At 46.7% G+C, this 22,461-nt stretch overlaps 1 protein-coding gene across 1 annotated transcript in view, besides 1 other annotated feature; it reads right to left on the reverse strand.

The window, feature by feature from the left end:
* Window positions 1–12,360, reverse strand: part of ALKAL1 (ALK and LTK ligand 1) — a 31,394-nt gene extending 19,034 nt beyond the window's left edge. Inside the window, exon 1 of the mRNA NM_207413.4 lies at window positions 11,997–12,360. Within this exon, the coding sequence (NP_997296.1) occupies window positions 11,997–12,186 (190 nt within the window). The 5' untranslated portion in view covers window positions 12,187–12,360. The remainder of the gene's footprint in view (window positions 1–11,996) is intronic.
* Window positions 10,616–11,592: an enhancer, noted in NCBI's record as "H3K4me1 hESC enhancer chr8:53476246-53477222 (GRCh37/hg19 assembly coordinates)". NCBI's record gives its function as "activates a minimal SCP1, AML or CMV promoter by ChIP-STARR-seq in naive H9 embryonic stem cells {active_cell/tissue: H9 hESC(naive)}" and the evidence as "EXISTENCE:reporter gene assay evidence [ECO:0000049][PMID:30033119]".
* Window positions 12,361–22,461: the final 10,101 nt, after the last annotated feature.

Raw genomic sequence — 22,461 nt, forward strand, 5'->3', positions numbered from 1 at the left:
TCTGGGGGCTGGGCACAATGTTATCCCAGCACTTTGGGAGGACAAGGTGGAAAAATCACTTGAAGCCAGAAGTTTGAGACCAGCCTGCACAACATAGCGAGACTCTATCTCTACAAAAAATTTTAAAATGAGCTGAGCATGGTGGTGCATGACTGTGGTCCATGCTATTTGGGAGGCTGAGGCAGAAGGATCCCTTGAGCCCAGGAGTTAGAAGATGCAGTGAGCTCTGATCATGCCACTGCCCTCCAGCCTTGGTGACAGAGTGATACTCCATCTCTAAAAAAAAATTGGAAGGTGCAGCATCTGTAACATTTCACTGATTATAAGAACTTCATAAAATTTATTTTAAATGATCTGACTTCAAACACATAGTCATATCAAATCAGACTCTGTACTCAACTGTGCCCTATGTCCTCTCTTAGGACTGGACAGTCATGCTTTGCCTTCTCAGCCAAAGTAAAATTCTGTGTCCAGCCAGACCGCCAAAGATGCCTTGGGTTTCTTTTATAAATTCAGGTAGACAAATTAAATAATCTCTAAAGTCCTTTCAAAGTCCTCCTATATTATACAATATTATGATAAAATTCTAACATTAGATTGCATATTCACAAAAGGACAAAATATTAAATAAGTCCAGAAAACTTGAAAAAATACAAAATCATGTTATAAAGTAGATTCTTTTCTTGTTTTAAACCACAGAACAATTCATGTTTAATTTAAATTTTAGCAATTTCATCTGAAGACTGATCTCATGAAAATGATTTATTCAGTTTCTGGTTTAATCTAGTTAATCCCCCTTCCAGATTTAAAATTATCATTTCCATAGACACTTAAAAAGATAAACGAGATTCTTATAAAAATGCTAAAACAGGGCCGGGTGCAGTGGCTCATGCCTGTAATCCCAGCATTTTGGGAGGCCGAGGCGGGCAGATCACCTGTGGTCGGGAGTTCGAAACCAGCCTGACCAACATGGAGAAACCCCGTCTCTACTAAAAATACAAAAATTAGCTGGGCATGGTGGCGCATGCCTGTAATCCCAGCTACTCGGGAGGCTGAGGCAGGGGAATCGCTTGAATCCGGGAGGTGGAGGTTGCAGTGAACCGAGATCGCACCATTGCACTCCAGCCTGGGCAACAAGAGTGAAGCTCCGTCACACACACACAAAAAAGCTAAAACATTTCAAAAACAAATAGATGTGCCACATTTCACACCGTGATAAGATTTTTATGTGTAATCAGTTATTAAGAATGACAACCAAATGACAATAGATTGGTACTTGCGGAAAACACAGGATCAAGCCCTAATAATGTTCTTGGATTAGGCAGTGACATTTATCAACAAACAAAGCAACTGGGAAACTCCAGAGGGCTGTTAATCCAGCAGTAAATTAACCACCCTAGAAGCACAATCTCTAACAATCAAAAACTTGCCTTTACTTTGACCAGAAATAAAGAACAGAGAGCAAGTTTGAAGGCAGAACACAGGTTTAGGTAGAAAAGGGTCAAGTTTGAGATTCTGTAGCTGAGATATTCAGCAGATAAGGAGTATACGAATTTAAAGGACAAGGTAAAGAAAAAGGAAGAAGATACCTTTTGGAATCTTTCATGGATTTTATGAAAAATCCATTGATAAGCATGGAACCTTGGGGTACACAAACACTTAAAGGCTGAAGAAGAGATGTTTGGAGAGAGAAAGAAGGAATGGTCAGAGAAGAGTAGAACAAAGCAAGAATAACTGGAATCAGGAATCATTTAACGAGGAAGAGATGGGTCAACTGCAGCAAAGTATCCAGCAGGCCAAGTAAGATAAAGGCCGACAGGGCCGGGCACGGTGGCTCACGCCTGTAATCCCAGCACTTTGGGAGGCTGAGGCGGGCGGATCACGAGGTCAGGAGATCGAGACCATCCTGGCTAACACGGAGAAACCCCATCTCTACTAAAAATACAAAAAATTAGCCAGGTGTGGTGGCGGGCGCCTGTAGTCCCAGCTACTCAGGAGGCTGAGGCAGGAGAATGGTGTGAACCTGGGAGGCGGAGCTTGCAGTGAGCCGAGATTGCGCCACTGCACTCCAGCCTGGGTGACAGAGCGAGACTCTGTCTCAGAAAAAAAAAAAAAAAAGATAAAGGCCGACAAATGCCCACTGGAGTCAACTGGAGTCCCGGTGGGATCATGGGCAGGAAGAGGCGATGGAGGGCTGGAACACAGGTGAAGCTGGCAGAGGATATTGGATTTTGCCCTGTGAGCTGTATTAACCATGCATTTTTATTTTCTGTATTTCCAATGCTTTGACATCTTCGGGTTTTGCTGACCCTGGAGAGAATGTCCCTCTCAGGGTAGCCATTCCTAGAGAGAGTAAACTCACAGAGACAGGACACAGGTTTAGGAAGGAAACGGTCAAGATTGAGATTCTGTAGCTGAGATAGGCAGCAGATAATGAATATATAAATTTAAAGGACAAGGTAAAGAAACAGTGCAAGCTCACCTTTCATTTACAAAGCAGCCAATGCAGAGCCCACACCTTCACCACCTCCTCTACTGGGCTTTCTGACTCTGGGCCAACATTCCTCTGCCCTAATTGCTCCAGGGCCAGGTACTCGACAACTAGAGGCAGCCCTTAGTGCCAGAGCCCACCGAAATCATTCAAACCAGCCAATCCTACGCCCACTCACCCTGCCGTGCCTTGGCTTTCCTGTGGTAATCACAGTACAACCTCTTGCCCACATTTTCCCCGTTCCTCCTTCCTCATGACCCGCCCTGGTGCTTCCCCTGTGGCCTTGTGTGGTGCACTGTGCTCCTGTCTTTAGGGACCCGTGAAGACAAACTTCTTCCTTCATGATAGTCATTTCCATGCGTCTGTGTCCATACTATCTCTGGTTAAAACAAATCCCAGGTACATTTTAAAACACGGATGGTGGTAGATCCTGCATGGAATGGTGATCTAGTCACATATATTTTATATACTCTGGAAATGATGCAAAAATTGGCTACAAGAAAGCTTATATCTCTCCTTGTAATCTTCTATAACAATTTTAAACTAACTTTTTCTACATACAGCATGTTGTTTCCTAGATGAGGCGATGAAATTCTTTATGCAGCAAGAGTTTTCCAGTATATTTCAAAATACCTTATTGTGAATGTTTTTGAAATGTGTAATTACTATCTGATTACCATATGTTAAAAATTTTACCAAAGTAATGTAAAATATTGGATTAGATAGTAAAATAGAATAAGCACTCCATAAGAAATGTTTTTCCTAAGAATGGAATATGTATGGGTTTAGAAGATTGGATGGATAGGCCGGGCGCGGTGGCTCACGCCTGTAATCCCAGCACTTTGGGAGGCCGAGACGGGCGGATCACGAGGTCAGGAGATCGAGACCATCCTGGCTAACACGGTGAAACCCCGTCTCTACTAAAAATACAAAAAATTAGCCGGGCGTGGTGGCGCGCGCCTGTAGTCCCAGCTACACGGGAGGCTGAGGCAGGAGAATGGCGTGAACCCGGGAGGCGGAGCTTGCAGTGAGTCGAGATCGCGCCACTGCACTCCAGCCTGGGCGACAGAGCGAAACTCTGTCTCAAAAAAAAAAAAAAAAAAAAAAAAAAAAGATTGGATGGATAAAGCTCTCAACAGTAATGATACAGTAACACAACTGAACCAAAATTCAATTCATCAACAAATGAGATAAGCAAGTTTATTGCTCATTGTGCACATAACCTAACCTATGTGTTACATTTCCTTTCTTTCTTGTGAAGTATCTTTTATTTTTGCTATATCTATAAAGAATTCTTTAAGGTGTGGCTATTTTAACACCATCAATTAATGCAGTAGTAATGAGTAATTCTTTAATGTAGTAATTTTTATTCTTTTGACTTAAAGTACAGAGTATGACTCCTACCCTGCTTTGTTTTTAAATCTGTTAGAGACATTGTTTTCAAATCTATTAGAAATCACAAAAGATAGTTATAAGAAAAAGTTACACAAACAGATAGTATTCCAAACCCAACGTGTAACTTGTTGTTTTTCCTTTCTCAGCATCAGGCATATATGCTGGCAATAGAAAATCTCCTATAAACAAATATAACCAAGCTTTGAAGCAGTCATGATGATATTCATCTTTTCAGGTTCACCATGGCTGATGCCCGGGTGGTGCTTGGAGAGAGTAAGAAGCCGCCTGCCTGCAGCTCCTAGGCCAGGAGCCTGGTCAGGTGCTCCACACATCTCCTCTGTTGTTATATCTTCACAAGAAGCCTCATGATGGGGTCTTCCCTGTGGCACAGACAAGATACCTGGAACTCAGAGATCCACCCCTTCCCAATTCCACAGCAAGCCTGGAACCAGTGCTTTCTGTCTCATGGAAATGATCAATAGCCAATCTGATACTGTCAATAAACTTTTTACAAAACTATCAGCCAGAAATAATCACCTTTTGGGGTTTCAATTTTCGGTGTTTTTGTTTTCCTGTTTTCTCACATGTAACCATTATGTAATAAAGATCAGACTTTTTTTAACGGTTGGCTCACATAATTTGCCTTATGTTTACAGAGAAAACAGAGCCTACCAAGCGTGAGTAGACACATACATAAGATGAATAGTAATTATGGATTCTGTAGAATTAACAGACGTATAAAATATTGGCTGTTGTGGTAGCTCATGCCTATAATCCTAGCACTCTGGAAGGCAAAAGACTGCAGATCACTTGAGGTCAGGAGTTTGAGACCAGCCTGGGCAATGTAGCGAAACCCATCTCTACTAAAAACACAAAAAAATTACTGGGTGTGGTGGCATGTGCCTGTAGTCCCAGCTACTTGGGAGGCTGAGGTGGGAGGTCGAGGCTGCAGTGAGCTGAGATTGAACCACTGCACTCCAGCCTGGGCAACCAGAGTGAGACTATGTCTGAAAAAAAAAAAAAAAAGAAGAAGAAGTATAAAATGTTCATACTGGGGCCTGATGCAGTGGCTCACTCCTGTAATCCCAGCACTTTGGGAGGCTGAGGCAGGTGGATCACTTGAGGTCAGGAGTTCAAGACCAGCCTGGCCAACATGGCAAAACCCTGTCTCTACTACATATATATATACACGTATATATACACACGTATATATATACACACACATATACTTTTTTTTTTTAATTAGCTGGGCATGGTGGCTTGTGTCTGTAATCCCAGCTACTTGGGAGGCTGAGGTGAGAGAACTCCTTGAATCTGGGAGGTAGAGGCTGCAGTGAGTTAAGATTGCTCCACTGCACTCCAGCCTGGGTGACAGAGTCAGACTCCATCTCAAAAAAAAAAAAAAAAAAAAAAAAAAGTTCAGAATGGGGCACACTCTTCAACAACAGCATTTAAATTTGAATGAGTAGTTTATGGTTTTACTGAATTTGTTTCCAGGTATTTTTCCACCAAATAACAGTGTGCCTATTTGACTAGCAATTAGTATGTGGTCGTGTCTCAGCAACTCTCTTGCCATGTCCCTGCCCTGTCCCTCAGCCCTCCTCTGTTCACCTTTCCTTCTCTCTTCATTGCTTTCCTGCAGCCCAGTCTTTTTTTCCTGGTGTCCCCCAGCGGCTAAAGTCGGGCTCGTTTATAGGCATTGGCTGAAACAATGTTTCCAAAGTGGGCTCCTTCATATCCTAGATATGCAACATGCAAATAAATGCCTAATTTAAAAAAAATTTGGATAGTACTGATTTGTATAAAGTTTCCTTTACTGCAGGACTTCGTAGTGCTTTGTCATAGTCCGTTTTGTGTGGCTATAAAGGAATACCTGAGGCTGGGTAATTTTTAAAGAAAAAAAAGCATACTTGGCTGATAATTCTGGTGACTGGAAAGCTCAAGATTGGGCATCGGCAGCTGGGGAGAACCTCAGGCTGCTTCCACTCATGATGGAAAGTGAAGGGGAGCCGCTGTGTGCAGAGAACCCGTGGCCTGACAGGAGCAAGGGGCAGGGGAGGGGCCAGGCTCTTTTTAACAACTAGCTCTCAAGAAAAGTAATAGAGCAAGAACTCACTCCCACCACCTCCCAGGAAGGGCATTAAACTGTTCCTGAGGGATCCACCCCCATGACCCAAACACCTCCCATTAGCCTCCACCTCCAACACTGAGGATCGAATTTCAACATGAGGTTCAGAGAGGACAAATATCCGAACCAGAGCATGCTTGTATAGTGATTCTAAAAAAGGGGGCTTAATCGTTATGTTCCCAAAGCTGGTAGACCAAGGAAGCCTTTTTTCACAGGTTATCTTTCAAAACACACTGGAACGTATAGCTGTAGAGCTGTGGGTACATGCAAGGATGGAGGGAGGGCAGACAGTGAGCTACTGAACCAGAGGAGTGTGGCTGGGTTTGGGGAGGGCAGATAGAAACCATCTCTATCTGGAAGAAACTTTCCAAGAGATTCCAATATGCCACCTTTCTCCTCCTCACTCTCCTTAGTTAAAAAAATTCTGATGGTCCCAAAAATTCAAGGTACATGAGAATTCTCAAAGAGTTTGTTAAAATGCAGATCTACAAGCTGCACTCATACAGATTTATTATATCCAGGGTGAAGTCCAAGAATTACATTTGAAACTTGCCTCTCAGCTGGTTCTGAAACAGATGATCCCAGGAGCCTCATTTTAACAACTACTGCTCTAGAAGGTATTAAGGACAGTAAATACTGTATTGTCTAAATATAACCAAATGCCAAAAAGTTAGCTTATGCCTCATAATGGTAGGAAGTAAATAAGACAATAGGTCTGCTTTAGCTTTGGGGAAAATAAAAATTTTAATTCTATATGTCCACAATTATGTATCTATAAATCAATAAATAAATATTTTAAAATTCAAATTATTTTAGTTTCAAAGTTAAAGAAACCTGCAAAGTTTCTTTTTTAAAATTCAATTTCTTCTGAAAAAAGTAATTCTTCCTAAAAGAAGAATTTACACAATGACTTTGGTAGGCTATGGGATATTAAAAACCGAGTAACCCCTAGTCTTCAACTTAAAGAGGCTCACATTCAAATAGAATAATATAATATCAAACTAATATGAGTTTCAGTGTGAGGTGTGCTGTAGGAAGAAAAAAACGCTATCTGTGTTCAACAGAGAAAGAAATCATCAATGAACGATATCATCAAATCAAAAAGCCTAACAATAACTCCAAGTAAAACACATTTAATAAAATTTTAATTTTATTAATATGTAAAAGACTACACATCTTTCACGTATGATATAAATATTGTAGCTATTATTTCCTGGCAGTTTATGTTGTTAGATATATAAATGGAGTTATAAGAAATATTTAAACTCCAGACACTCTACTTACTACCCACTACTGTGACGTTTTCTACAATGGCAAATAGTCGAAGGAAATATCACCTGGCCACGTTTTTCTATCCTCCTACACAGCAACAAAGATCTTAGAAATCTGCTCTCAAATGTCATTTCCAGCAATAAAACTGAAGGCCAAAGAAAAAAATTGCCATTAAAAAGGAATTGTTTTAATCCTAGGTTTTCCTAACCAATATGTGATTGGAAAGTAGTCTCCTGGGACTGGGTCATTTCAGGCAAAGAGAACCCCACAGTGGGTGATTCTGTTGACCTCTGCACAGAATTTCCTCACTTAGCAGCTCGATAAATAGGCTCCTGCAGAAAGGCCACAATTCCTACAAGAAATACTGTGAATGGGCAGAAACTCATTCCTCTAAGTTAGCTTTGGCATCTCAGAATGAGTATTTATGATCCTGCTAGCTAGCAGCCCCATGCCCAACAGACGTCTGGTCATATATATAACCTGCCAAATCTACTTGGTGAAAAATCATATATAACCTTTTCACTTTGACCTCTCCCCATACTAACAGTTTTCAGTAAAATAAATAGCTTCAAGTAACCCTGCAAATAACATAATAAAAATATTAAAATGGAAGATGATGGCTATGTTCATCTGTTTGACTGTAGTAATCATTTCTTGTGCCTACATATAACAAAATATCATGTTGCACACTTTAAATATATACAACAAAAAATGATTTTTAAAAAAAAGTACCCATCCATACCCCCCTCCCAGGTGATATGCAAAGCAGCAAAAATTTTTTATTATTTATGTGAAATAAATTGTTACTCACCAGGTATAACTGTCTAAGTGGGCAGATATAATAGCCACAGACTTGCAATAGAGAGAATTTGGGCTGTACAAATAAAATCCCACTATTACGCAAGCCCCTGCAGTATTTAAGTATGTCTAGTTTTTTTTAACTTTCATCAGATCTTTGGGGATATTTGCAAAGTGAATTTATGGTTTAAGACGCATCTGAACGCATAAATAACCGAACTGCAAAGACAGTACAAAGGAAGGGGGCCTAGATGGATGAATAGAATTCCAGCAGGCAGAGGTAAGAGAAGTGCATTTCAGGAGAGGGAGGAATAGCGTTAAGCACAGGCAGAATGGCCTCTGTAAGGAGGGGGTACCAAGCCTGGGACTGGCACAGAGGCACTTACAGTAGCTCCTGAGAGCTGCCGAAAGGTAAGAGGAGGTGGCACAAAAGGACTTGAATATCTGCCTTTCTTTCCAAGGAAGCTAGGACCTTCCTGGAAAATCAAGAGAAACCACAGCAGATTTATGACCAGGAAGAGACCAGCCCCATGCTACTTATTAAGCACGTTGATTTGCCATTGTTCAGCATAACCTCATCAAAACCCCTTCACATTCTCTCCTTAAGCTCCATGTCAGTGAGGTTTTATATTAAAACAGCAACAGCAAGCACAACAACACAAATCTGACTCCAGAAAGCCTGTAGAAATAAGGTAAACATTTACTGAAATCTCTTGAAAAGGCAGAGGTAGCAAAAGAAACATCATATACATCAATAGTTGCTAACAGTACCCTTACACTGCTGCCTCCCACATCTCAAGCCAATTTCCTTTCTGTCAAAAACTGAACCTCCTCTCTACTCCCACCACGGCCCTATTCTCAGCCTTCTGATTCTGTTTTCCTTTCAGTGGGTGAGTGCTCTGATGTTTCTTTCCTTTGGCAGGGTTTGAGGTATGGTCCCTTGTTTGTGCCATCCTGCTGGTGGCGCAGTGACCAAAGACAAAGGGAGGAGGAAAGAGGAATGAGAGAGCAGGAGCGAAGGTTACTGGGAATTCTTATCCCAGTAGGACACACTGTCAGGGGCACTAATAGAGTTGGAGATGATCGAGAAGGTCACCGTAAAACTCTCAAGAGGGTCTGAACTAGAGTGGTGGGAAGGACACTAAAAAGGAAGACCCAGATTCGAGAGACATCGCAGGCAGGAATTATGAACTGAATTGTGCTCCTCAAGCACAATGGTCAACAATGTTGCCCATCCCAACGACCTCAGCTGTGTGTTAAATTGCTAAATGAGAGGACGGATACAGGCACGAACAAATGGGCTGTGAGAAGGAAGGAGGGCCAAGGACGGTGAATCAGGAGTGTTCCTGGGAACCTAACACAGTCCCCCACTCTCCGCAATCCTCGGGGCATGCTGTCTGGTCCCTCCTGCCTCAGGGTTTCCTGGTTACTACTCCCTCTACCTGGAAATGATCCCCCCACCTCCAGCTCACATCTGCATTTAGGGAAGTTGCCTGGCCTACAGAAAAAGGCAGACAGAGCAAGTGCAGGGGCAGCAAAGATTTCTGAACCTAGAACAGGTACGTTAGGCCTGGGTGATGGTGCTTATTACGTCACTACAGAAATATGGGGCCATCATTCCAGGCACATCTGGCAGAGATGAGAGTCCTTGGCCTCCCGGACCTGCGAGATATTTTCCTCCTGAATGAACGATAACCCCTGCCACCTGCTGAGTGCACCCCGTGAGAACATCCAGATAGGCCCTTGTCCTCTATATTCTCATGTCCCTGTTTGTTCCTGATCCATGTGCAAGTACTCCATTCACAGACTCAGATACGGATGTCATGAGCCACCCTTTTCTCCCCTTGTGAATGTAGTATAGCAATCAAAAAATTAGACAACTACAGTCACAGAAAGCAATGGCTTTAAGGGTGCCCACAGGGCACTTTCTGTCTGACTATATTGTTGTTTAAAACTTCAGATGGTTGCCGCTTTTAACTATGGCCGGGCATAGTGGCTCATGCCTGTAATTCCAGCACTTTGGGAGGCCAAGGCAGGCAGATCACTTGAGGTCAGGAGTTCGAGACCAGCCTAGCGCAACATGGTGAAATCCCATCTCTACTAAAACTACAAAAAAATAAAAATTAAAATTAGCCGGGCGTGGTGGTGCGCCTGTAATCCTAGCTACGTGGGAGGCTGAGGCAGGAAAATGGCTTGAACCCGGGAGGCGGAGGTTGCAATGAGCCGAGATCACGCCACTGCACTCCAGCCTGGGAGACAGGAGCGAAACTCCGTCTCTAAATAAATAAATAAAATATTGTTTTATCCCTTGTAACTCACTTCAGTAAGTCTTCACTGTCTGAATCAAAGAGAAAAGATCTGTTGAATGAAACAGAAGGTCTGAATGAATGTGTGCCCTCCATGTTTCTGTACTTTGAGAGCCTTTCTCCCAGTCCTTTCACATTCCAAAGTGACATTTTATTCTCTGAGATAAATATTTTAGGCTAACAATAATTTTAAGTCAAAGTGCATGATCTGTGTGCACCATTGCTGCATGGCCGTGCTGCGGACACTGACCCTGTGCCCTCCCCTCCTGAGGGCTCCCCAGTGGCCGGCTGGACTGAGAGGCTCTGCCCGGGTTGTCCACACACCAGCTGGGCAGCCCACCTCAGCCTCCCACCTTCTCCATCCCCTCCCCAGGGCAGGACACCCTGCTCACTTAGTGCAGGTGTGCACCAGCGCCTCCTTCCACACCCAGGTGTGTGGGAGAGTGCAGACACTGCTGTCTGCTCCTCTGGGTGGCCTCCGCCCTCTGCATGGTGACAGACAGGAACTCGAAGAAAGTTTGTGGAGTGAATAAGTATATATTTATATCACAACTATTGTGAAAGAAAAATCATACTAAGAAGCCCTTGTTTGCTTTCTTAGCCATAAAGCCTGAGGAGAAGGGATCAGGAGCTGTGGTCCCACGGCCAGCCGCTAGCTGCGAGGCATCCCCAGGCCACCCTAGGCCCTCTCCTCTTCCCAAGCCCGGTGGAGGCCACCAAATGTCCCCGCAGAGGGGCCCTTCTGTCCCAGCCTCGCCGGCAGCTTCACCTTGCTCTGCTCTTGCTGGGTGTGAACAGAAACGTGTGAGGAGCTTCTCGCTTCTGTCCCCACCTTCCTTTCCTGCGTGTCCTGCCCTCCTCCCTCCAGCGCTGCCCCAAGTGCCCGGCCGCCCCCTCGGACCTCCTTTTCCAGGGGCTTTTCCGTGTTCCCCGTATTCACACGACTTCTCTGCCTGTGGATGTCTCATGACCCTCTAGAGCAGCGACTTTTTCCTCCCTCATTCCTTCCACTCCCCTCGGGCATCTAAGTAGCAGGAACCTGACTGTCCAAAGTTGATTTGGGAGCAGCCGGCTGCCCTTCTAAAATGATCTAGGAAAGGTGCCAGTAACATAAGCCGCCGCCTGCTGAAACTGGCGCTTCCTCAGCCACTCGCTGCGGCCAGCGTGAAAGGGGAGGGGAAAGGGGCATTCCTGGCACGGTCAGGTGTCTACGGACAGCAATCTTAGTTAATTCTCAAAACCCCGGAAGATCCAGAAATGGGGTGCTGACAGGGACCTAACCTGTCCACCACCCCTCGGTCGGTGGGACTGAAACCCATGTCTTTGAGCTGCTTTACCAGTTTATTTCCAAAAAGTCCTCCTACACCTGGGAAGGGACATAGAAAGCTGATCCCATTGCCAGCCGGATTTCTTTACTTAACTCTCAACCGTGGTAAATCTAATTCGCTTACGACCTCTTTCCGAGAGCTGGGAATCTGCAGAGATGCTCTGTTTTCTGCTGTACTAATCTCAGGCTTCCCAAAGCGAGTGCCTCGCCCAGCTCCTAGGGGAATCCACGGAGCCCCAGGCGCAGGGCAAAGGATGGGGCGGGATGGGGACATCGTACCTGCGCTCCGGGAGCCGCTGGGAGTCCGGCCGGCCCCGGCCGCGGGGAGGAAAAGCAACGGCTTGGGCTCCTTATCCGTGACGCGCGCTCCCCTGCGCCCCCGGGGCCTCCCGTGGGCTCCGTGCGGGGACAAAGCCAGCGCCAGCAGGAAGAGTGCGGGCAAAGGGGCGCCGGGCTTAAGGGGCCGCATGTTCGCAAGCCGGGAGGAGAGAGCGGGAGACTCCGGGAGGATCCCGACGCAGGTCCGGAGGGTGCGCGGCCCAAGAGAAGGCCAGCGGGACCACAGCGCGGCTACGCGGCCGGCCGCAGTCTTCACCGCGCGCCTGCCCTTGTCTACGTCCCGGGGGTCGGCTGGAGCTGCACTGGGACTCGGTCCTCAGTGTGCCGAAGCCTAAGCGCTGCGGGGCGCGGGGCGGGAACGGGAGGCGGTGCCTGGGGCCACGGGGTCGTCCCCCAGGATGAGGGCGTGTCCCAGCGCGCGGGACCCTCGGAAGTCCGCGCTGGGCCGGGCGGGCACCAGCCTCGGACTCAGCGGGTCTCAGGGCTCCCTGCGCAACGCCTGCCTCGGATCCGGACCCCGGGCTCGCTCTCTGGTCGCCGTCCCCGGGAGGACCCAGTAGGGTAACTGCCGCGTCGCCCCGGCGGTTCTCCCTGGGCTCTGTCTCCCGCCGCCTCCACCCCCCGAGCCTCGGGGTCCGTCACGGCTTCCCCTGGCTGGCGGGGTCAGTAGAACCCGCGGCGCCTAGGTCCGGACGGAAAAAAGCAGGGCCGGGGTGCGGCCTGGATGAGCGGAGATCTCCGCGCCTTGGGCTCAAAGGTGCGGGGTGCGCTCTGCTGCCGAGCCCCTGCTCGCTCAGGAACACTGGCCACGCCGTCACGCCAGCCGCCCCTGCCCCAGGTCTGGAGGCCCGACCTGCTCTCCTAGGCGCAGCACCGCGTTCTCTTCCGCGTGGGGGAGCGGCGGGCGGAAGAGGTCTGGGGCTGGGCACCGGGGACACGCGCCCAGCTCCCCTGGCCTCCCTGGGGGGAGTGGCCGGTTTCAGTGCTTCCCCAGGTGAAATCGCCAAGGTTGACCAGTGCGCCCAAAAAAGCAGCCGGCTGGATTTTTCTTCAAATTAGGGAACTCTTATAAAGAGTTTTAGTGTTAACAACTTAAAAAATGAAATTAAGGCCAGTCGTTCTGATTAAAGTGCGCCTCTCTGATCAAACCGCGCTCTGTAAACTGTTGTTGTTTTAGTTGTTTCAGCCGCCTGCTTTATTGCTTTATGTTAAGTATATTGAAAAATGTTGAAATTGCTCGCTAATCAATTGACTACTAATTATCTCCTCATATGCAAAGTGCAAACAGGTGAAAGGAAAAAGGCAGGAATAACTAAGGGAACTGAGGCTCCATTACTCCTTAGGCGGTGCCCAACGTTACATTACTCTACAAAAAGAAATCTTGTGGGTCACAGATCCTGAATAATGACCTCAACTCCTTCAAATAGTTTATCTAGGCTTGGCATGTCCAACATGCCTAAGAAATTGGGAAGCAAAGCAAGCTTTGCAGGAGCCCTGTGAAATCGTGCCTTTGGATGAAGCTCTTTTGAGGAAGTTGTTACACAGGTGAAGACTGCTTCTTCCAATCGTTTCACTGTTAAGCACGCATAGGAATCTGGTATTTCCTAAGCAAACACAGCAGTGTAAGAGAATGGCTTCCACCAAGGGAGACCCACAAGAGTCTTCCTAGAAAAACAGGTTAAGGGTCTGAAGGCCCTACTTAGGTGGAATAAACGCTTTCTCACAGCTCTACTGAAGTGAAATAAGAAAACATTAGAAGTTCACAGACATTGACAGGCAGTTCAAAAATTAATTTTAATTGGAAAATAAAAAAATAGGGACTAGTCCGAAAAACGATGGGGAAATGCAGTATGAAATAATGCTGGAGAATAAGTGATACTGAAACCATGACAAATGGACTTTTTAATCAACCATCTATCCGGAGCAAAAGACAGCAAAACCTGGAAGCTGAATTATTTCCCTCTTCCTCTACGTTGAAAGCTAGAGGAAATAAACAAAGCAATGAAGTTTTCAAGCCTGACAGTTTGGGGTCTACTTTCAGCTGTCATTAGCCATGGGGCCCTGAGCAAAACACTTAGTCTTCTCTCTAGCAAGGTGAAGAGGTTGAACTTCAGTGGTTCTCACACTGTGTACCATGTGAAGGAGAGGCTGTAAAAAAAATGCAGGTTCCCAAACCCCTGGGGACGCAGTCCCCCAGGAGGATCCTGTAAATCTGCGTTTTAAGGGACTCTGGGTAGTTCTGAAGCAAGTGGTCCTTTGAAACCCACCTTTATTCATTCAACAAAAATGATGTGAACGCACACTGTGGACCAGGCAGTGGAAACACAGCGGAGCCACCACAGTGGGTAAAATAAACAAAATCCTCATCTTTGTGGAGCATCTAACTTCAGGGATCTAGTTCCTCAACACAGTGCTTTTATCATAAATAAACAGGTTACGTATAGCTAAGTCACTCTTTGCTTTTGTTCTTTGTTCATTGCATATCTTTGACTACTTTTCTAACTGCCCCAACTAAATGCTGCTTGCCCTGCCTCTTGCTAATTAGTTTAGAGGCAACTTGAAGTGTTCATGTGGGCATTCCCTCAGTAACACTTGCTAATTTATTTAGTATATAAGGAAGGGTTTTCTGTGTAGAAATGGGTACTTAGTAACTAATGTTTAAAGTAATCCAAAGTTTTTAAAACTGTAACTGTTACAAGCTGTTTTAAGCCTTGAAACTCAAGGCACTTATTTTCTTTACAACTTAGCTAATAAATTAAACAAGTGAAGTTTCCTTATTTAACACCAACAAACCCTATTAAACATTTCAAAATACAATCACATATTTAATATAGTTGATTTTCTTAAACATTTTTAAAACCAGAATTTTAAAAGTCACAATTGAAAAATCCATTGCTACATCTCCCCCAAAATATTGGTAATATTGGTAATATAAACTTGTATTAAGGTTCTCTAGAGGGACAGAACTAACAGGAGATATATACATATATATACACACATATAAATATAGAGATATATGTAAATATATATATAATACTTAATAAACTCCTACATATATATAGGAGTTTATTAAGTATTAACTTACACAATCACAAGATCCCACAACAGGCTGTCTGCAAGTTTGAGCAACAAGGTGACCCAGTCCAAGTCTCAAAACTGAAGAACTTTGGAGTCCGATGTTCAAGGGCAGGAAACATCCAGCATGGGAGAAAGATGTAGGCTGGGAGGCTAGGCCAGTCTCACCTCTTCACTTCAATCCAATCAAGTTGATACTCAGTATTAACCATCACAAGAATAAGATTATGACACAAACCTAGAGAGTTGATATACTCCTGAGGTAGGACAGTAAAGGTATATTGCTGGCCTTGCCAGCTGAAGGCAAATTGCTTCTGGTGGGCCTTATGGACAGGAATGGAGAAAACGGCATTTGCCAAGTCAATGTCTGCATACCAGGTACCAGGAGATGTGTTAATTTGCTCAAGCAATGAAACCACATCTGGTACTGTAGCTGCAGTTGGAGTCACCACTTGGTTAAGCTCACAATAATCCACTGTCATTCTCCAACATCCATCTGTCTTCCGCACAGGCCAAATGGGAGAGTTTAATGGGAATGTGGTGGGAATCGGAATCACCTCCCCTGCATCTTTCAATTCCTTGATGGTGGCACTAATCTCCTCAGTTCCTCCAGGTATGCAATATTGTTTTTGATTTACTATTTTTCTAGGTAGAGGCAGCTCTAATGGCTTCCATTTGGCCTTTCCCACCATGATAGCCCTCACCCTACCAGTTAGGGAGCCAATGTGGGTGTTCTGCCAGGTGCTAAGTATGTCTATGCCAATGATGCACTCTGGCACTGGAGAAATGACCACAGGATGAGTCTGGGGACCCACTGTAAGTCAGACCTGAGCTAGAGCTCCATTAATTACCTGACCTCCATAAGCCCCTACTTTAACTGGAGGACCACAATGACATTTTGGGTCCGCTGCAATCAACATCAGCTCAGAGTCAGGGTCCAGTAATCCCCAAAATGTCTGATCATTTCCCTTTCCCAGTGCACAGTTACCCTGGTAAAAGGCTGGAGGTCTCCTATTTCCCTTTCCCAATGCACAGTTACCCTGGTGAAAGGCTGGAGGTCTCCTTGGGGAAGGGCGGGGAAAAAATTCACTGCCTAAATTGTCAGTGATGTAGTGGGGTCCTTCCTCAAGGGGACCCAGCCTCCCCTTCATTCAAGGGGTTCTGGGTTTGTAAAACTGGCTCAAATCTGGAAATTGATTGAGAGGCCATGATTCTCTGTTTTTATAATTCAAATTAGTCTTTGGTCCATTCAACCTAGAATTTTTCTCCTTATAGAAATTAAGAAGGAATGCAGTAGGCTTCCTATCAATTTCACTTCTACGAACACTGTGATTAATTAGCCAATGCCAGAGCTCTACACAAGTCAGACTATTCCGATTGCCGCTTTGCCTCTGCTGTCCATTATGGTAGCTACGCCCACCTTGCCTTTGACAGTTGAGTGTTGCCACTTGGCCCCTGCCTCCCTGGGATCCAATTATGCCCGTTGTATTTAAATTTTGTAGTTGAATGACTGTGGTTCCCACCATTAGATCTGACATACAGAAAAGAGCAATTACAGGGCTCTTCAAACATGCAAGTGCTGCCCTCACGCATCTATTTCACAATGCATTGGTCAAGGGTATATCTTCTGGACCCTCCCAGCTGGAATGAGTAGGTCTAAAGTAATTAAGCCACTCCACCATCCCAATATCCCTAAGCCTTTGGAGTCCCTCCTCTACATTAAACCAAGGGAGATCAGGCATTTCCAGCTTGCTCTCAGTGAGCTATCTTTTAATCCATATTTCAGCTAACTGAGCAAATAAACTATTAGAACCTTTTTTTAACTCCCCAAGCTGCAACATTAAAAGCAGTGTCCCTACTTAGTGGGTCCAAATCAATAAATTAAGCCTGATCGAACTCTATGTTCCTTCCACCATTATCCCATACCCTTAATGTCCATGTCCATGCCTGTTCTCCAGATTTCTGTTTATATAGATTAGAGAACTTAAGCAGTTCTTTTCGAGTGTAGCACACCTCCTCATGGGTCACACTCTCAACCTCACCTCTAGGGACTCGTGAGGACTTTAGTTATAGGTCAGGAAACAAACAGGAGTGTTGGGGCTGGCTCCTAAGGAGAATCAACATTATTTTGCCTGGAAACTGCTTCGGGGAGGCCATCACTGTTGCCTCGGGCAGGACAAGGTTTATCTTCTCACACAAAGGTGGAAAGGCTGATGGCAGCATGGGTAAGGGAGGGGATTTTGCCACTACTGGGGATGGAGAAGCTGTTTCTTCTGGAAAAAAAGGTTCATCAGAGTTTACAAACTCTGGGTCAGGGTCCTCCCACACGTCTCATTCCAAGTTGCAGGGTCCCATTCTTTTGCAGTCAATGCCCTCACTTTAACAGTAAACACCTGGTGAGGCTGTGCACGCACCTTTCATTGCAGATCAGCCACTCGCATGATACGAGCTTGTGTCTGTCTTTCCACAATTTCAGCTCTTTCTCTACATGAGATAAGGCTCTCATTCAGGGCAATCTTAGTAGATTTCAGGCTCAGTATCTGCTTCTGAAGTCAGGAGACAGAATCCCTAAGTTCCTCATTTTCTTTCATCACTTTGTCCACTGAACTTTGGAGCAAGCAACCAGCTTCTTTATGTTTGTTGGGTCTCCACATATGGTCAAAGGTATTATGTATAGAGTCACTAAACTCCTTGCCTCTCATGAGCAGTGAATCAGGAATGTCAAATACATTTATTTTGCATAATTATCTAAACAGTTCATGCCAAGGACTATCAGTGTTCTCCATACTATTAGAAGTAGAGTCCTTAGCATTTTGAGATCTAATCATATTAAGCAACCAACTCCAGAAACCCCAAAACCAACGAAAGAACTCCATCCTTAATATTATGTTCCTCTAGAACCACTCCCGGTACCAAAATCTGTATTAGTCAGAGTTCTCTAGAGGGCCAGAACTAATAGGAGATAGATAGAGATGATAGATAGATAGACAGATAGATAGATAGATGATAGATAGATAGATGATAGATAGAGATATATACATATATTAGTTTATTAAGTATTAACTTACACAATCACAAGATCCACAATAGGCTGTCTGCAAGCTTGAGGAGCAAGGAGAGCCAGTTCGAGTCTCAAAACTGAAAAATTCTGGAGTCCAAAGTTTGAGGGCAGGAAGCATCCAGTATAGGAGAAAGATGTAGGCTGGGAGGCTAGGCCAGTCTCGCCTTTTTCCATTTTTCTGCCTGCTTTATATTCACTGGCAGCTGATGGACGAGCCACAGACAAAACTCCTCAGACACCGAGTTAAAGAAGGAAGTGGTTTATTCATCAGGGAGCTTCGGACAAAACTCCTGTCTCAAGAGCCAAGCTCTCTGAGTGAGCAATTCCTCTTCCCTTTAAGGGCTCACAACTCTAAGTGGGTCTGCATGAGAGGGTCATGATCGATTGAGCAAGCAGGGGGTATGTGACAGGGGCTGCATGCGCTGTGTGGTCAGAGTGAAACAGAACAAACCAGGAAGTTTCACAATGTCTTTTCCATACAATATCTGGAATCTATAGATAACATATCCAGTTAGGTCAGGGGTCGATCTTTAACCACCAGGCTTAGGTCAGGCAGGCCCAGGCCTGGTTTCGGGTCTGGTTCCTAGGCGCCAGGCTACCTGCCTTTTGTTTCGCTTTTCTTTTCTGAGTATAAAACAATATGAGAGGGTCTGTCTCTCTTCTCTCAGCCTTTTTACATTTTTCTGCCTGCTTTATATTCACTGGCAGCTGATTAGATGGTGCCCACTAGATTAAGAGTGGTTCTGCCTTCCCCAGCCCACTGACTCAAATGTTAATCGCTTTTGGCAACACCCTCACAGACATACCCAGGATCAATACTTTGTATCCTTCAATCCAATCAAGTTGACACTCAGTTTTTTTTTTTGTTTGTTTGTTTGTTTTTTTAGTACTTATTGATCATTCTTGGGTGTTTCTCGGAGAGGCAGATGTGGCAGGGTCATAGGATAATAGTGGAGAGAAGGTCAGCAGATAAACACGTGAACAAAGGTCTCTGGTTTTCCTAGGGAGACGTCCCTGCGGCCTTCTGCAGTGTTTGTGTCCCTGGGTACTTGAGATTAGGGAGTGGTGATGACTCTTAACGAGCATGCTGCCTTCAAGCATCTGTTTGACAAAGCACATCTTGCACCGCCCTTAATCCATTTAACCCTGAGTTGACACAGCACATGTTTCAGAGAGCACGGGGTTGGGGGTAAGGTTATAGATTAACAGCATCCCAAGGCAGAAGAATTTTTCTTAGTACAGAACAAAATGGAGTCTCCTATATCTACTTCTTTCTACACAGACACAGTAACAATCTGATCTCTCTTTTTTTTCCCCACATTTTCCCCCATTTCTTTTTGACAAAACCGCGATCGTCATCATGGCCTGTTCTCGATGGTCGCTGTCTCTTCGGAGCTGTTGGGTACACTTCCCAGACGGGGCGGCCGGGCAGAGGCGCTCCTCACTTCCCAGACGGGGCGGCCGGGCAGAGGCGCTCCTCACTTCCCAGACGGGGCGGCCGGGCAGAGGCGCTCCTCACTTCCCAGACGGGGCGGCCGGGCAGAGGCGCTCCTCACTTCCCAGACGGGGCGGCCGGGCAGAGGCGCTCCTCACTTCCCAGACGGGGCGGCCGGGCAGAGGCGCTCCTCATTTCCCAGATGGGGCGGTCGGGCAGAGGTGCTCCTCACATCCCAGAAGATGGGCGGCTGGGCAGAGGTGCTCCTCACTTCCTCCCAGACGGGGTGGCTGGGCAGAGGTGCTCCTCACTTCCCAGGCGGGGCGGCCGGGCAGAGACGCTCCTCACCTCCCAGACGGGGTGGCCGGGCAGAGACGCTCCTCACCTCCCAGACGGGGCGGCCCGGCAGAGGCGCTCACTTCCTAGACAGGACAGCCGGGCAGAGGCGCTCCTCACCTCCCAGATGAAGGGCGGCCTGGCAGAGGTGCTCCTCACCTCCCAGACGGGGCAGCTGGGCAGAAGCGCTGCCCACCTCCCAGATGGGGCGGCCGGGCAGAGGCATTCCTCACATCCCAGACGGAGCGGCCGAGCAGAGGCGCTCCTCACTTCCCAGACGGGGCGGCCGGGCAGAGGCGCTCCTCACTTCCCAGACGGGGCGGCCGGGCAGAGGCGCTCCTCACTTCCCAGACAAAGGGCGGCCGGGCAGAGGCGCTCCTCACTTCCCAGACGGGGCAGCCGGGCAGAGGCGTTCCCCACTTCCCAGACGGGGCGGCCGGGCAGAGGCGCTCCCCACTTCCCAGACGGGGCGGCCGGGCAGAGCCTCTCCCCACTTCCCAGACGGGGCGGCTGGGCAGAGGCTCTCCCCACTTCCCAGATGGGGCGGCCGGGCAGAGGCTCTCCCCACTTCCCAGATGGGGCGGCTGCCGGGCAGAGACGCTCCTGAATTCCCAGATGGGGCAGCTGCCGGGCAGAGGCGCTCCTCACTTCTCAGACGGGGTGGCCGGGCAGAGGCTCCTCAGTTCCCAGACGGGGTGGCGGCCGGGCAGAGGCACTCCTCACATCCCAGATGGGGTGGCTGGGCAGAGGCGCTGCTCACTTCCCAGACGATGGGCGGCCGGGCAGAGGCGCTCCTCACCTCCCAGACGGGGCGGCTGGGCAGAGGTGCTCCTCACTTCCCAGACGGGGCAGCCGGGCAGAGGCGCTCCTCACTTCCCAGAAGCGGCGGCCAGGTAGAGGAGCGCCTCATTTCCCAGACGAGGCGGCCGGGCAGAGGCGCTCCTCACTTTCCAGACAATGGGCGGCCAGGCAGAGACGCTCCTCACTTCCCAGACGGGGTGGCGGCCGGGCAGAGGCGATCCTCACTTCCCAGACAGAGCGGCCGGGCAGAGGGGCTCCTCACATCCCAGACGATGGGCGGCCAGGCAGAGACGCTCCTCACTTCCTAGACGGGGTGGCGGCCGGGCAGAGGCTGTAATCTTAGCACTTTGGAAGGCCAAGGCAGGCGGCTGGGAGGTGGAGGTTGTAGCGAGCCGAGATCAGGCCACTGCACTCCAGCCTGGGCAACATTGAGCATTGAGTGAGCGAGACTCCGTCTGCAATCCCAGCACCTGGGGAGGCCGAGGCGGCCGGATCACTCGAGGTCAGGAGCTGGAGACCAGCCGGTCAACACGGCGAAACCCCGTCTCTACCAAAAATGCAAAAACCAGTCAGGTGTGGCGGCGCGTGCCTGCAATCCCAGGCACTTGGCAGGCCGAGGCAGGAGAATTACGGGAGCCCGAGGCAGGGAGGTTGCAGCGAGCTGAGATCATGGCAGTACAATCCAGCCTCGGCAACAGAGGGAGACCGAAGAAAGAAAGAAAGAGGGGAGAAGGAGGGGGAGGGGGACTCAGTTTTAACCATTACGAAACTTAATTTTTAAAAATCATCATCTCTATCTGTATACATGTTTTGTACGTTCTTGGATACAAGGCTATTTTTCTGATCAAAATAAATAGAAGTCATGTTTCAGGTTAGAAGCCCTGTTTTAGATTAGGTTAGGTTATTGATTTGAGGTTATCTGATAGAAAATCAGGAGCTTGATTCAATTATGAATTAGAGGAACAGGTCAGGACAGTAACATAAAAACCTGGAACTCCCAAGATGATTAAACCATATTGTAGAGTTTATGGAATCAGGCCCCTTTTTACAGCAATAAAATATTTCACATCCATGTCTCTCTAGAACTTGGTGTGTTACATTTTACTCTGAACTTTTTCTTTTTACTACAACCTCAGACACAACTTTTTAAATAATTTCTTTCAGTTTTTTCTGCCTATATTCATGGAATTGCATGCCACGCATGCACACACACACACAAACACACCCCATTTGTAAGATTGTTACTTAATCTTTTGCTCCCTGATTTGACCTAAACTTTATCCAATATATGCATAGTGTGAATGGAACAATATATGACATTTTCTCTAAATATGATTTTTAAATCACATAAGCTCCTCCTCTATTGTACCACATAATTTTCCATTTTTGAGTAAAATTAAGAATCTGTAATAATAATCACAATATCATTTATCCTTCTTTTGATGCTCAACACTATCTGGTCAACAGGAGTCCTGTGGTCTGTCTCCTTTCTTTTTGGCACTCCACAGCATCTGTGAGAGCAACAAAGGTGTCCAGGCACGCCTTAATTTTCCTTGTTGCTTTTCATCAGGGAGAGACATTTACCTGGCCACTCTAGAGGAGATTTTACTGGAGATGGGGCTGAGTTTGTTCCACATGAGAGCACATGGTGGGGGCATCAAAGATCTACATATTAAGGGTCCTGAATTCATGCAGTT

Source organism: Homo sapiens, chromosome 8 (genome assembly GCF_000001405.40).
Source record: "Homo sapiens chromosome 8, GRCh38.p14 Primary Assembly".
Taxonomy (NCBI): domain Eukaryota; kingdom Metazoa; phylum Chordata; class Mammalia; order Primates; family Hominidae; genus Homo; species Homo sapiens.